This window comes from Homo sapiens, chromosome 8 (assembly GCF_000001405.40).
Source record: "Homo sapiens chromosome 8, GRCh38.p14 Primary Assembly".
Taxonomy (NCBI): Eukaryota; Metazoa; Chordata; class Mammalia; order Primates; family Hominidae; genus Homo; species Homo sapiens.
In genome coordinates, this window is record NC_000008.11 from 1,274,298 (window position 1) to 1,290,697 (window position 16,400).

The following is a 16,400-nucleotide window of genomic DNA, read 5'->3' on the forward strand; positions in this document are numbered from 1 at the left end:
ACCACACTTGTGCCCCCACACAGACTCTCATGTGAACGTGAAAATAAGCCAGCACGTATAAGAAAATAAACCATAAAATAAGCCAACATGTATAAGAATATAAACCATAAAATGAGTGACTTTGGATTTGTTTTAGAACATAAACCATAAAATGAGTGACTTTGGATTTATTTTAGAACATAAACCATAAAATGAGTGACTTTGGATTTGTTTTAGAACATAAACCGTAAAATGAGTGACTTTGGATTTGTTTTAGAACATAAACCATAAAATGAGTGACTTTGGATTTGTTTTAGAACATAAACCATAAAATGAGTGACTTTGGATTTGTTTTAGAACATAAACCATAAAATGAGTGACTTTGGATTTGTTTTCTGAGATAGTTGTTTTCATTTATCTTTTTTTTTTTTTTTTTTTTTTTTTTTTTGCCGTAATTGTGGTCAAGCTGAACTAAAGCTAAGAATTACATACCAAACATTCAGGCTGGATGTTTGGTATATAATTCCAAACAAAAGGAGGCAAGAAACCCTCTTTCTCTTAACTCATCAACTTAAAATGCTCTCTGGCTTTAATTCCTTCGGTAGCAATTACTTTATGAATATTCCTTGTAGACCTCTCCTAATCCAGTGCTAGGAATTGCGGCAGCCATGAGTGAGTGTTCACTGCCTGCTGCTGTGTCCGCAGTCCCAGCTGTCTGATTCACTTCCCTGTTTATTGCTTGCTCTACCGCAGACAGACAGACAGACAGAGCCCACATTGGTGAAGGCTCCAGCCCAGGCAGAGAGGATCCCTGAGGACCTGCAATTTAATTTCGAGCACTGGCTCAATGTCATGGTCCCAGTGCCTCCCTGAGTTACACAGAGCAACTCTGGAGTTATTATGTATAAAACCTGATCCCAATGTTAAGGGGAGGGAAAAATCATTCCTTTACGGTCACATGGTCCAGATCCCTCAGTCTACAATTAAGTAACTGGGGGCTCAGTGAGGCATCGTAGCTTACTAGATGCCCACAGAGCAGATAGAACCAGGTACACTCTCTAGCTCGAGCAGGGAATTTGGAATGGAAAAAAAAAAAAACACAATAGATTTGCACCCCAGATGCTGAAGGAGTGCTCACATACATCACATTTACCATTAAGGCCTTGGACACTGGTCCTGGGGCCATCCGGAGATGACTTCATTCTCCAGTCAGACATCAGCGTCAATCCCAGATGCAGGTGGAACTCAGAACAGCATCATTTTCATGCAAACTGAATTTCTTTTCATTCCCAGATCTTCACAAAGACAAAAAGATAATGCAAAACCTCTATTTGTAAGAAGTTTATAGGAAAAGGGTCCAAGTAGTTCTCACTCTAGGGCTTCTGGAACTTTGTCCCTGTATGAGTCATGGTTCTCTAGAGGGACAGAGCTAATAGGACATATATATATATAAAATATATGTAATATATATAAATAAATATATAAAAATATATATTATATATAAAAATATATAATATATAAATAAATATATAAGATATATAATATATAAAAATAAATATATAATATATAAATATATATAATATATAAATATATATAATATATAAATAAATATATAATATATAAATATATATAATATATAAATAAATATATATAGTATATAAATATATATAATATATAAATAAATATATAATATATATAAATATAATATATAAATAAATGTAATATATAAATAGATATAGAATATATAAATAAATATATAACGTATAAAAATATATAATATATAAAAATAAATATATAATATATAAATAAATGTGTATATAATATATAAATATATATATAATATATATAAATGTATATAAACTCACTGTCATCCTGCCACGGAGAGACTCAGGCATTGCTCAAGGAGTTGCTCTCTCTCAACTCCAATCAACACTCCCCCCCCGACCCTAGCTCTCAATGTTATATTTCTTTCATAACAACCTAAAAAATCATGATAGCTGCTTTTTTACCCAAACACTATGAAAAGTGATACTTCAACATTAGTGTCTTGGACTGACACATGAATTCACTTGGAATGTAGATTCGCGTCGGGCACTATCAGATGGAACCGTTTTGGATCTTGGCCGCACGTTGGGAAACCCACCCGGCTTTGCTGAGTGGGTGCCGGGGAGGGAAGGGTGAGGGGGGACGGGAGGGCTGCTGAGGCGGCATCTTCACTTTGCTTGCATGTGTATCTTCACATGTTCGGCCTTTGCTTTACCCTGAAGGTGTTTCTCTTGCTATAGTTTTCACATTAAGTGCGGTTTGAGTACACGATGACCAGGAAGCCCAAAGGTGGTGCGTCTTGTGTCGGTGCTTTGACTTCCCAGCACACGTCCCCAGACTCCTCTAGAAAGTCTGCTTGGATGAGTAGAACAAGACACTCTTGTTCACATTTTATTGGCCAAATGTCTTGGTTTTCTTTAAATGTAGTGCTTATTTAAAACGTAAAGTTGTTTTCATTGTTTAATTGATATTTTATACTGGCAAAAAGAACTTCAGTATCTTGGATGGGAAGACGTTATCATTTTCTCACTAAAATTAATAAAATTAAGTTTTCATGTTGTGGCAGAGTTTTCAGGAATGTCATGAGCAAGGAATAGGTGTTTGTTTTATGGAATCATATAACATCACATATGTTCCTAAATATCATTTTTAGTGGTTGCATATTATTCCATTTTGTGGGTCCACTGTGATTTACTGAATTGGTCCCCTTTTCATGGAAATTTAAGCTGTTTCTAATCATTTTTCTGATACAAGTTGTACCTTCTGGAATATTATGTCCATAGCTTTATCTGCATGCTCATTCATGATTATTTCCTTAGGGCAGAATCTAGAAATCTCAGAAATATAGTGTTTCATTCAAAGTGTGGCTATTTTACTAATGAATTTTTGGAACCCAGGAGTGACTTATAACATGTGCTTCTTCCCCATTCTGAAGTGGCAGACGTATATCTGTGCCTATGTAGCCCCCCCAGTTATTTGGTAACTGTATTTTTTTGTTGTTGCTATTTCAAATTAATCTAGGCAGCCTGTTTTTGGTAGGCTCTAGACTAAGCACTAAGGATGCAGAAATTAAGAGAGCACGGAGAAATACATAGAGCAAGAAGCATATAAAACAAACATCTGACCTGTGATAGATGTGTGGGGTCAAATGGGAGTGGCCAATTTTACCAGGAGTCAGGAGAATTAGAAAAAAAAATGATTATGAAACAGATGATTCTTGAGCTGTCTTGGTATCCAAGTATTAGCCCAGCAGATGAGTATCCCAGTATCAGCCAGGTAGGTCAGCATCGGAGTATCGAAGTATCAGCCAGGCAGGTCAGTATCTGAGTATCCAAGTGTTATCCGAAATGAGTGGTGGGGTGGGCTTCCAGGCTGGCAGCAGCTGCACCGAGGTCGGGGCAGGAATCAGCATACCCACGTCAGGGAGCACCCCCACCCTTGGCAGGGCCGGCTTGCTCTGAAACCTCACCTTTCTCCGCACGTTTCTCTAAGGGGTCCAACTCCCCACTATTTGCTGGGGCAGTGACTGCACAAGGACAGTTAGGCAGATGTGTCATGTCCGTGACAATGCTGACAGCGGAAACGTTATCTTGAATCTCTGGTAATTTAACATGATTCTAGATTGGGTATTGGTAGGGAGTTGGTAGGGATGGGGCTCATCAAACATCTTAAAAAACAAGTTATTATTTTTAGTCATCATTGTCAGTAACAGCTTCTCAGTAGTCTCTTGCAATTTCAACATTCAGGAGACATGCCTTTCTTTTCTCATTTATTCAGATGATACCTCACGCCAGGTCAGGTGAGGGAGTGGCATCCGTGCTCACGGAAGTCAGCAGAGCTGTGTTCCAGCTCTTTCTCCTCCACCAAAGAGCTGTATGCGTCGGACAAGCCACTCACTCCCTTGGACTCTCAATTATTTTATCTATAAAAGTGGAAAAGAAGATCTATATTCTTTCTAAGATCTCTTCCAGTTGTAAGAACAGAATTAGACAGCATGGTCCTTGACTTGAAAGAGCCTCAGCTCTCTGGGGACTCTGCTCCCCATGTCATCGGCGCAGTCGTGAGCCTGGTCATTACTCAATTACTTTACCTGTTGTTGGTTGAGGGATAAATATCAAGAAGGATAAATGAATTCCAATACAATTAAATCCTTATGCTAACTTAAAAAAACAACTGCATATCATTCTGTTTACTTACTGGTACTGTCAGGAACTTGATGAATCTTTAAAAATCAGGTTTAGTAAAATTCAGATTTTAATAAAAATGATGTATTTCTTTAGTCAAGCCAAGGACATATTGCAGAAAAGAGATCCCTGTGTAGCTGGTGCCTTCTTCTCTACCTTACCTAATCAGTGGTGTGACCCTCTTATCTATATGTTTTAGGCATAGGCAATTATAACTGCCTTTCATTTGATAAATGAATTACATAATGAAGATCCCTTTGACAATGAAAGGCTTTAAGCCATAAAAATAATTTCAGTGTTCCATTTGGTTAAACATAAGCATTTCTTAGTCTTTCCAGAGGAGAGGAAGACTATGTGTACGACTTTTTGGACAATTTAATGTTTAGGGGATATTTATGCAGAAATGTCCTTCAGATTGTTGAACCCATGATGGTACATGAGTAAAGTCACTTATGATTTCTTTCAGTTAAGGTGAGGATAAAGAACATATAGAAAATATAAAGAACATATAGTAATGGGGAAGAAATGAGCTATACTCACCCCAGGGGGTGTGCTTTAACTGCAGAATTTTACAAAACAAGAACAAAATAGTATTTTTCTAATTGGGACTTGGGCAGCATTGCAAATAGAGGTGTCAGTAGTGTGCTTTGACAGTCTTATCTATGATAATTTTAAGTTAGGAAGTTCTTAACCTCAAAAGCCCTTTGTAAGAACAGCGCTAAAGTCCTTGGATTATTGTGGTATTAGGATTCGTCAGTTCTTGATTCTATGTTCTAGAATCTTCTTCACCTCAATTTCAATCCAATAAAATTTTATAATTGCCTGCCATGAATGAAGCTCTGTTTGGCACTTTATGTAAATATGTGGGCATAAATATGATGTCTGTCTTAATTGATTTTACCAAGAAGTATGAAAGTTAGATGTGTTCAAAACTAAGCTTCAAGGCGGAAATACATATCCCAATTAATATACCAAGAAGGTGCTGCGGAGGGAAATTGCAATTCTAGATGTATTAGATTTCTATGGCTGCATAATAGACTACCGTAAGCTTAGCAGTGGAAAACAACACACATGTGTCATCTCAGTGTCTGAGAGTCCAGGGTCTGGGAATGGCGTAGCTGGGTCTTCAGCAAGGCTGCCATGAAGGTGTCAGCTTGTGAGGCTTGGCTGAGTTGGTGCTGGCTTCCAAGCTCGCCCAGCCAGCTGGTAAGATTTATTTCCTTGTGGCTGTAGGATTCATGGCAGCTGCTTCAAAGCCAGCAACAGAGCCAGAGCAAGTGGCAGGCAGGTTGGAGTCTCATCACCACATCACCCACTCACGGGAGGGACACCCATGACCTTGACCGCCCTCTGTTGAGTAGCAGTGTCAGGCCCAGTCTACACGCCAAGGAAGGGGTTCATACACGTTCACACACAGGCTTGAGAACCAGGAGGCGCAGAGCCCAGGAGGTGCCTATGTTGTGTCTACTGTACCAAGATGAAGAAGTAACATGAACAAAAGTTCTGGACTTTGAGGAGCTTAGAATTCAGTAACTTGCTGACATGCACTCACGTAAGGTCTGGAAGTTTTGAGCTTTGTGGTATGTGAATGCTCTTGGGACCTTAACTGATCCCCAGATGTGGCTTCAGGGGTCGCATAATTCCTTTCATTCATTCCTGATGGTTTTTCATTAGCTGGTTTGGATGCCTCTGGGGTTTCTTCTTCATCAGCCAATTTGATTGATCAAATCTCATGAGTCCTGCTACTGAGGCTTTGAACCATCTCTGCACTTAGTTTATAGCCGGGCTGTACTCGTAACCCCTTCCCATCTATTTCCTTGAGATTAAAAGAGTTCCATGAATATTTAACTGAGGAAAATTTTCTGAAAACCTACCTGCGTCATAATACTTATTTATCTCTATTTAATAAATATCTACTGATTTTCCCTGTATCAGAAAAATACATGCCACTAGCGTTTTTAAACAGGAAGGTATTTAATAGGAGGATTTAGGAAAAGGTAATAGTTTGGGGGTCTATAAAGGAGGAGGGATTTCTTGTGGCTCAAAGTTAAAGAACTTCATGGGAGAAGTGACACTTGATGTGTGTCTTGAGGAGTAAGGGGAATTTTGTTCAATGAAGAATGGGAAGACCCGCTGCCACCAGGGCCCATGTGAGCAGGTGCATGGGCCATGGGCATGGAGGGGAGGTAGGAGAGCTTGGTGCCACCTTCATCTGGGCAGAGGAGTATAAGGATAAGAGGCTGGAAGGGCAGTTGGGGGTCAGGTTGCCATGCAAGCTTCGTGTTTGCAGATGTCACCTGTAATGGGGAGATTCTTAAATGGGACACATAGGCCATCCTAGGGCTTAGGTATCTTCAGGTCTATCCCTGAAATCACATTCACCTATTACATGCGTATTCTGGGAACAAGTCCACTGCGTTTGTATCAGAAGCTATATGGGGAATGTGGATTTGGAGCCAGCTGGATGTGGACGAGGAATCCTTACGATAGCTCCACGACCTTGGTCAAGCAATGGTCTTCCTGAGCCTTCTCTGTAAAAATGAGATAAGAATAGTGCCCAGCTCAGAGAATGCTGTAGGTTTCAATGAGATTATGTATGCCAAGTTCTTATAGTGCCTAACCCACCGTAATTGCTTAATTTTTAAAAATGTGTGTGCGTGATATTACGAGTTTTAGTCTGTATCCTATAGATGTCTCAGCAGTGCTGATTTCACAACTTCAGAATACAGATACCTTCAAAGTCGTAGATGTGGGTTTTGAGCCACGTGCCACATTGTGTTCTGTGAGAAACGGGGGATGGTGGAGGTGCCTCCGCCCCTCGCTCCCGGCGAAGGCAGCCTCTTGGTGGCTTTCCCTGTCATCATGACCTTGATTTGATTCCTAGTCCCTTAGGCGCCCCCAGTGGCTTACAGCTCAATGCTCAGTAAATATTCCAAGTTCCTGCGCCTCCCCAGCCCTTCTGTCCCCTGGGCACAGGCTGAACACACATCAGCCCCGGCGGAGACAGCCCTGGACTCCCTGATGTCTCCTGTGGGGCTCAGCCAGCATTAAAGACATGAGCGGAGACCCAGGGTTGACCAGTTTTGAGCCCGTCCTCATTCTCATTGGGGAGCTGTTATTAATAAAATCCATACACAATCAAGAGTACAGCACCAGTGTTTTTCATGAAATTCAGCTCCCCACACTCCCTAAGGAGGAGCTGACCAGGGAGAGGCAGATGTCCTAGCTCCTTGAAAGCCTTCCCCGGGGAGTCAGCTGTATGAGATGGGAACAGAGGCGTGGAGGGACGCGGTCCCACCCCACCAGCCTTTGATCTGCAACGTTTGATTTGCGACGTGGCTCCACCACACTGGGCTTTGATCTGCCCTGGAAGAGACGTTCAAACCACAGCCAGAGGGTCATGTGATGGTGTCAGTTATTGCCGATGAATGAGCATGCACCAGGGCCGCAAACCATCTGGACATGGTGTAACCTGAACCCAGCGCGCCCTGAACCATCCAGACATGGTGTGACCTGAACCCAGCACCATGAACCATCCGGACGTGGTGTGACCTGAACCCAGCACATGAACCATCCGGACATGGTGTGACCTGAACCCAGCACTCTGAACCATCCGGACATGGTGTGACCTGAACCCAGCGCATGTACCATCCAGACGTGGTGTGACCTGAACCCAGCACGTGAACCATCCGGACATGGTGTGACCTGAACCCAGCCCCCTGAACCATCAGGACATGGTGTGACCTGAACCCAGCGCCCTGAACCATCCGGACATGGTGTGACCTGAACCCAGCGCCCTGAACCATCCGGACGTGGTGTGACCTGAACCCAGCGCCCTGAACCATCTGGACGTGGTGTGACCTGAACCCAGCACCTGAAGCATCCAGACGTGGTGTGACCTGAACCCAGCGCCCTGAACCATCCGGACATGGTGTGACCTGAACCCAGCACATGAACCATCTGGACATGGTGTGACCTGAACCCAGCACGTGAACCATCCAGACGTGGTGTGACCTGAACCCAGCACCCTGAACCATCCGGACATGGTGTGACCTGAACCCAGCACATGAACCATCTGGACATGGTGTGACCTGAACCCAGCACGTGAACCATCCAGACGTGGTGTGACCTGAACCCAGCGCATGAACCATCCAGACGTGGTGTGACCTGAACCCAGCGCATGAACCATCCAGACGTGGTGTGACCTGAACCCAGCGCCCTGAACCATCTGGACGTGGTGTGACCTGAATCCAGCCCCCTGAACCATACGGACATGGTGTGACCTGAGCCCAGCACGTGAACCATCTGGACATGGTGTGACCTGAACCCAGCACGTGAAGCATCCGGACGTGGTGTGACCTGAACCCAGCGCCCTGAACCATCCGGACGTGGTGTGACCTGAACCCAGCACGTGAACCATCCAGACATGGTGTGACCTGAACCCAGCGCCCTGAACCATCTGGACGTGGTGTGACCTGAATCCAGCCCCCTGAACCATACGGACATGGTGTGACCTGAGCCCAGCACGTGAACCATCTGGACATGGTGTGACCTGAACCCAGCACGTGAAGCATCCAGACGTGGTGTGACCTGAACCCAGCGCCCTGAACCATCCGGACATGGTGTGACCTGAACCCAGCACGTGAACCATCTGGACGTGGTGTGACCTGAACCCAGCACGTGAACCATCCAGACGTGGTGTGACCTGAACCCAGCGCCCTGAACCATCCGGACGTGGTGTGATCTGAACCCAGCGCCCTGAACCATCCGGACGTGGTGCGACCTGAACCCAGCACGTGAACCATCCAGACGTGGTGTGATCTGAACCCAGCGCCCTGGATCTGTCCCTCTTCGTCCCCTCAATGGCGCCCAGACCTTCCACATTCATAAAAGGCACGTGTCTTTGGGTATCATATGTTTGTTTTGATTTATTGAATATGAGTTATTTTAAAATAAACTACAAATGTATCATCCTTTGCTCTGCTGAAAAGATGAATCACTTTAGCAGCTGCAGAAGACAGTTCCTTTCAGCCTTGGCACTCGGCTTTGCTTCGTTATAATTTCCAGTTTTCTATTTGTCTTTGCTTAAAATGCAGAAAGGAACAGCGATGATGCTGATAGAATTTTCATTGAATATTCAGCTTTCCTTTTGTGAAAATGCTTTTTGTCACCTAACAAGCATTTTGAAAATGTTCATGCCCTTTGGTCTTGTCACTCTAATTCTGGGATACAATCCATAAAAATAAGTAAATATTCAGAAAAAGCTTCAAGTAAAGCATATTTACTGCTATTTTATTTATAAAAGCAACTTAAGCACTACCACACTTAAAGTATGAGAGTAAACTACATCGTTCGTGGGATACAATCACACATAGCCCTTCAATGTGTTGTTTTATAACATTTCTGAAAACGTGGAAAATGCTAGAGCGTCCATCTGTAGCTAAAGTAACGTTCAAAGTGATTGTCATTCACGACGGAGTTCTAGATGCCTATTATCTTCCTGCTTCTTTTATAGAGTCCAAATTTTCTATGACAAGTATGTGGCCTTCTTGATAATAGGAAAAGTTCTTTCAAAATTACTATTGCCCTGTCCTTAGAGCAGCAGGAAAGTGAGACACCTCAGAGCATTGTGACTGCGCGGCTGTCTCCTGCAGTAGCTAAGTACAGCAATTTCCAGAACAAAGGGCTCTGTGGTTGCCAGTGGTCATTTAAGGAGTCCACTGCAGGCTTACATTTCCAGGAGAGATTTTTTGTTAATATGCTTTTGAGTAGAGCCTGTGCTGAAGATGATGGAAGGCCTGTCTGGATTCTGCTGTGCAGGTATCTGGTATCCGGGGCTGTGGAATTGCTTCAGAGGAACCCATTAAAATGATCCCATCAGTAATTGAGGTGCAGCACGGAGAGGAGACAGTGAGAGTGTGCAGGTGTGTGGACCGTCACCTGGGCTCCAGCGCTAACGTAAAGATGTGAGGATTTGCTGCATGACAAGACCACAGTCCCCACGCAAACCACGAGCTGTCAACTCACCGCTTTCAGTGTTGCCTGTTTCTCTCAATTCTTTTTATTGCTCTTCTGTCCATCACAACACATTTTTCCTATCTTGTTCATTCGTTGTTTATTCTTTATTATTATTGTTATTATTATTTTGCTCTGTCACCCAGGTTGGAATGAAGTGGCACCGTCTCAGCTCAGTGCAGCCTCAGCTGCCTGACCCTCCCACCTCAGCCTCCCGAGTAGCTGGGACCACAGGCAGGTGCCACCACGCCCAGCTAATTTGCGTGTTTATTGAGAGATGAGGTCTCACTGTGTTGCGTAGGCTGGTCTGGAACTTCTGGCCTCCCACCTCAAAGTGCTGGGATTACAGGCATGAGCCAGAGCTTCTTTTCTCCTCATTCTTGACCTTCTGTGTTCCTTTACTTTGTTTTTGCCTGCCCATCTTTGCACCAGATTCTTAGGGCTCAAAGCCAGCAAATGCCAGGTTCTTGGCTCCACCTGCATCCCGATTTATTTCCCTTGCTTTTTGGTGTTTTTCCATAATTTAGCACTATCATGCCCATGCCATTTAACAGGTTATCTGTAGTATAAATTCTGCCATATTTTTTATGTAATTGAATTCCACGTGGCTGGAATGAGGAAACTTGGCTCTTGCATCGTATTTTTCTGAGTGTTCTGTTGTGTTGGTCACGTTCCCAATGGCTCCCATCGTGGACTGAGAATATAAGTAGATGACTAAACTAGAGGTCACACATCTCAATATCTACCATATGAATTGTTTGCCATGATTCATTGTTAAAAAATAAAACAGTGCATACATTTATTTTTTTAATAATGTCTTTTGATTTATTTTTCTCAAAAAGCTCAGTCATACTTCAAAAAAGACACTAACAAATGAAAATAAGACTGTGCGTTTAGATTAGTTTTGGAAGATATTTGAGAAGAATATGCTTATGAGTAGAGCCTGTCCTGGAGATGATGGAAGGCCTGTCTGGATTCTGTTGTGCAGGTATCTGGTATCTGGGGCTGTGGAATAATAATAGTCCACTGCCCACGTGAACAAGACACACCTGTCTGTGGAAATAATTCTGCTGATTCATACAATAATCACTGCTTTTTCAGAGGGGAAAAAAAGCTTGTTATAGGTTGCTTTAATGAAGTGATAGGCCATAAATACACCTTAAATACTTCTATTTTTCTGGCTCATGCCTGTAATCCCAATACTTTAGTAGGCTGACACAGGAGGATTGCTTAAGCCCAGGAGTTCAAGACCAGGCTGGGCAACATAGCTAGACTTCTTCTCTACAAATAATTTAAAAATGAGCTGGGCGTAGTGGCACACACCTGCAACCCCACCAATCCTTGCAAGGATTACCTGAGCCCAGAAGGTTGAGGCTGCACTGAGCTGTGATTGCACCACTGCCGTCTAGTCTGGGCAACAGAGACCCTGTCTCAAAGAAACACCCAAAACCTTTCTATTTTTGACTTGTTCACTTCCATTTTTCTTTTATAATTCACCAACTGATATGGTTTGGATCTGTGACTGCACCGAAATCTCACCTTGAGTTGTAGTAATCGCTGTGTGTCAAGGGCAGGACCAGGTGGAGATCATTGAATCATGGGGTGGTTTCTGCCATGCTGGTCTAGTGATAGTGAGTTCTCACAAGATGTGATGGTTTTATAAGGGGCGTCCCCCTTTGCTTGGCACTCATTCTCTCTCCTGCCGCCCTTGTGAAGAGGTGCCTTCTGCCATGATTGTAAGTTTCCTGAGGCCTCCTCAGCCATGCAGCTCTTTGAGTCAATTAAACTTCTTTACTTTATAAATCACCCAGTTTGGGGCAGTTCTTTATAGCAGTGTGACAGCCGACTAATATACCAATGAATACAATGTATATAGAAATCGAAATGCAAAGAGAATGAAGGAAGAAGGTGGGTTCAAAGCAAGCTCTACCAGTTACCATCTGTGGAAGAGCTTTCCCCGTAGACTGTTTTCTTGTTTGTAAAATGAGGACATTGCATAAATGGAGGACCGAGGCCTGTGTCTGGGATGCGGAGGTGCTTGACAGTGAGAGCTTTCCCCTCTCCATGCCCATACCCTCCTCTGCTGCTGTAATGATCTAGTCTGACCTGAACTGTGTATCCGTGCTGGGCTGTACAGCATCTCACACTCAGTCCCTATGAGAACAGTAACATATCTCCAAGGCATTAAGCAGAGCAACTGGAGTGTTAATCCACACTTATCTTCAAAGTGCACCCTCTGTGCTGTACTGAACTACTTCCCCAGTGTCTCTGGATTCAACTCAACTCCTGTGGAAGGATTAGAGTTGTTAGGCCGTATGGGGAAAGTGACTTGATTTGCACAAGTGCATTCGAGGAGAAAACCAATTCTCAGTAGAATGAGAACGTTAAATACAATGAGGGCTTATGCTTGAACTGGCCATCAGCAAGTTATTTTAGGCAGTTATAAACCTTAGCAAATTATTTTTAAAAAGAGAAGGTCAGTTTTATAACGTGAACCAGCTGCTTCATTTGTTCAACTCAGTGTTGTGTGTGTACATGGTTCTATTAGGGGAACTGGTTTCGGTTCAGTATGTGTGTGCATGGTTAAGAGGGGAACTAGTTTCGGTTCAGCGTGTGTGTGTGTGTGTGTGTGTGTGTGCGCGCGCGCGCGTGGTTCTGTTAGGAGGGGAACTAGTTTTGGTTCAGTGTGTGTGTGTGTGTGTGTGTATGTGGTTTTGTTAGGAGGGGAACTAGTTTTAGTTCAGCGTGTGTGTGTGTGTGTGGTTGTTAGGAGGGGAACTAGTTTCGGTTCAGCGTGTGTGTGTGTGTGTGTGCGTGGTTCTGTTAGGAGGGGAACTAGTTTTGGTTCAGCGTGTGTGTGTGTATGTGGTTTTGTTAGGAGGGGAACTAGTTTTGGTTCAGCGTGTGTGTGTGTGTGTGGTTGTTAGGAGGGGAACTAGTTTCGGTTCAGCGTGTGTGTGTGTGTGTGTGTGTGTGGTTCTGTTAGGAGGGGAACTAGTTTTGGTTCAGTGTGTGTGTGTGTGTATGTGTGTGTGGTTCTGTTCGGAGGGGAACTAGTTTTGGTTCAGCGTGTGTGTGTATGTGGTTCTGTTAGGGGAACTAGTTTCGGTTGAGTGTGTGTGTGTGTGTGTGTGTGTGTATGGTTCTGTTAGGAGGGGAACTAGTTTCGGTTCAGTGTGTGTGTGTGTGTGTGTGTGTGTATGTGTGTGTGGTTCTGTTAGGGGAACTAGTTTTGGTTCAGCGTGTGTGTGTGTGTGTGTCTGTGTGTATGTGTGTGTGGTTCTGTTAGGACGGGAACTAGTTTTGGTTCAGCGTGTGTGTGTGTGTGTGGTTGTTAGGAGGGGAACTTGTTTTGGTTCAGCATGTGTGTGTGTGTGTGTGTGTGGTTTTGTTAGGAGGGGAACTAGTTTTGGTTCAGCGTGTGTGTGTGTGTGTGTGGTTGTTAGGGGAACTAGTTTCGGTTGAGTGTGTGTGTGTTTGTGTGGTTCTGTTAGGGGGACTAGTTTCGGTTGAGTGTGTGTGTGTGTGTGTATGGTTCTGTTAGGAGGGGAACTAGTTTCGGTTCAGTGTGTGTGTGTGCGTGTGTGGTTCTGTTAGGAGGGGAACTAGTTTCGGTTGAGTATGTGTGTGTGTGTGTGTTTCTGTTAGGAGGGGAACTAGTTTCGGTTGAGTGTGTGTGTGTGTGTGTGTGTGTGTGGTTAGGAGGGGAACTAGTTTCGTTTCAGTGTGTGTGTGTGTGGTTGTTAGGAGGGGAACTTGTTTTGGTTCAGCGTGTGTGTGTGTGGTTGTTAGGAGGGGAACTAGTTTCGTTTCAGTGTGTGTGTGTATGTAGTTGTTAGGAGGGGAACTTGTTTTGGTTCAGTGCGTGTGTGTGTGTGTGGTTGTTAGGAGGGGAACTTGTTTTGGTTCAGTGTGTGTGTGTGTGTGTGTGGTTCTGTTAGGAGGGGAACTTGTTTCAGTTCAGTGTGTGTGTGTGTGTGTGTGTGCATGGTTCTGTTAGGGGAACTAGTTTCAGTTGAGTGTGTGTGTGTGTGTGTGTGGTTAGGAGGGGAACTAGTTTCAGTTGAGTGTGTGTGTGTGTGTGTGTGGTAGGAGGGGAACTAGTTTCATTTCAGTGTGTGTGTGTACGTAGTTAGGAGGGGAACTTGTTTCGGTTCAGTGTGTGTGTGTGTGTGTGTGGTTCTGTTAGGGGAACTTGTTTCGTTTCAGTGTGTGTGTGCGTGGTTGTTAGGAGGGGAACTAGTTTCGGTTCAGTGTGTGTGTGTGTGGTTGTTAGGAGGGGAACTAGTTTCGGTTCAGTGTGTGTGTGTACATGGTTCTGTTAGGTTCTATTACACAGTGTTCATTCCTCCATAGGCTTCAAATGAATTCAGTTGCTCGGCTTGTTTTGTAGAAAATTGTATAAGATTTTTAACATGAAGTTCAGTACTTAGAAAATGCAAGTCATTTATGCATTAGAGTTACTGAATTTAAGAAAACCTCTAAGGAAAACAAAAATCCCTTTGAATCTGTTTTCTTTTGACATTGGCAGATAGAGCCGGTATTGCTTCTGTCTGGGAACTGGCAATGCTGATGTACTCCATGAAGGCCCCTGAATTGAGACCCCAGGCTGTTTTTAGCCTGGAGAAAGCCAATGTCTGCATTTAGCTGTGTTTATGTCCTAGTAACCAGTATTGGGAGTGAAGGATTCATCAAAAACCATTTAAAGATTGGATGAGGTACATGGATCAGTAAGTTTGCTATAGGATTGCTAATACATAGAGACAGCTACTTATTTGACCAAATTGGAGGAAATGAAAATTATTACATGTAGAAGACACATTTAACAAGTCCTGGTTTTTCAGTGGAGATACAGGGTTGCCACCTCAATTCCACTGTTAGTTCAGAGTGGTTGCTACACACATGCCCTGTCTATTTTGCGGGGTTCCCTTCTTCTATTTTTAAGCCCCTCTGCACACTGGACAGTATCAGTAAGACTCACGTGCGGGGATAGAGCTGTAAAAGCTCATACCTTGCTCCTTTCGTTCCTTGTGGATGCCAGCAGCTTTGCCATGTCATTTTCAGTGCAGCCTTGGGAATATCTGTCCCTGGGGGCTGGCCTGGCTAGCGTTCCTACATAGTCCCTGCTGCCTTTGAGATGGATGGTGAAGCCTCCACTGTGCAGTGTTCTCACAGAAGTACCCCCCCGAGGCTAATGTTGTGAGACTGTGCAACCCCAGGAGAGCCCGGCCTCCCCCGCGAATGCAGGAATTGCTCTGCTGCGGACCACAGATGAGGAGGAGGAGAACCTGCTCATGATGTCTGAACACAGGATTTCAGCAGTGATGGGAATTTAGAGAATCTTTCCTAAGATATTTAAGATGATTTGTAAGTGGTTTTATCCAGTTCAGTATATTCTTGACCATCTATTGATACTCAAGACAGATCAAATGGTAGGTCCTGGGGATAAGATATAGGCAGAAAGGAAGGGGTAGCTGCTGAAAAAGGTTCTATGCACCAAGAAGAAAACTAACCACTGTTCAGGGTCCCTGTTGTGTTATCTCAGTGACGTGATTGGTGTTGGGAATTTATTCCTACCTGGGCTGCAGGTGCTGAGGAGAGAAGAGGCTCTGACTCTATTACATAACGTGTGACATGAGTCATCACAGGCCTCTGTAAGCAGATCTAGTCAGCTAGACTCGAACAAAATGAAGACAGGGAGTTAGCAAAGCTGAGAAAGTCGGGAAAGGAATCACGTCCGTCGCGCTCCTGACGTGGCTACACACGGTGCATCCAATTCCATCGAGTTGTCATTTACAACACACCTGCAGTTTGCATATGATGGTCCCGCTTTACAAATGGTGCCTACATAGTGACGGCAGGGTTTGAACATCGGGCTGTCTGACCAGCACACCTGCACTCCTGCCATTCCACGAGACTGTTGACCAGATCTTTAACAGCTTTTAATTCTCATCAGAGGATAAAATCATATAAGGCTCTAAACCCTTTATAATGAAGGGATCAAAGGTTAGTAGTTATAAAAGAGACAAGTCACCCGCAGAGACCTTTAGAAACAAGTGCTCCCATGGGGAGACAGCGGAGACACCAGAAAGACCAGAAAGGCAGAGGCCTCCGTGGCAGGACGGTGGCTGACCTTTAATTTCCTCCCATCCACTTTCCTGTGTTTTCTGGGAGATT

General features: G+C 43.9%; 1 protein-coding gene across 1 annotated transcript in view, besides 3 other annotated features; it reads left to right on the forward strand.

Moving 5' to 3' along the window:
* Window positions 1-16,400, forward strand: part of DLGAP2 (DLG associated protein 2) — a 970,849-nt gene that overhangs the window by 536,670 nt on the left and 417,779 nt on the right. The gene's annotated exons all lie outside the window — the stretch shown is intronic.
* Window positions 6,637-7,137: an enhancer, noted in NCBI's record as "H3K4me1 hESC enhancer chr8:1230934-1231434 (GRCh37/hg19 assembly coordinates)". NCBI's record gives its function as "activates a minimal SCP1, AML or CMV promoter by ChIP-STARR-seq in naive H9 embryonic stem cells {active_cell/tissue: H9 hESC(naive)}" and the evidence as "EXISTENCE:reporter gene assay evidence [ECO:0000049][PMID:30033119]".
* Window positions 7,138-7,638: an enhancer, noted in NCBI's record as "H3K4me1 hESC enhancer chr8:1231435-1231935 (GRCh37/hg19 assembly coordinates)". NCBI's record gives its function as "activates a minimal SCP1, AML or CMV promoter by ChIP-STARR-seq in naive H9 embryonic stem cells {active_cell/tissue: H9 hESC(naive)}" and the evidence as "EXISTENCE:reporter gene assay evidence [ECO:0000049][PMID:30033119]".
* Window positions 8,772-9,271: an enhancer, noted in NCBI's record as "H3K4me1 hESC enhancer chr8:1232453-1232952 (GRCh37/hg19 assembly coordinates)". NCBI's record gives its function as "activates a minimal SCP1, AML or CMV promoter by ChIP-STARR-seq in naive H9 embryonic stem cells {active_cell/tissue: H9 hESC(naive)}" and the evidence as "EXISTENCE:reporter gene assay evidence [ECO:0000049][PMID:30033119]".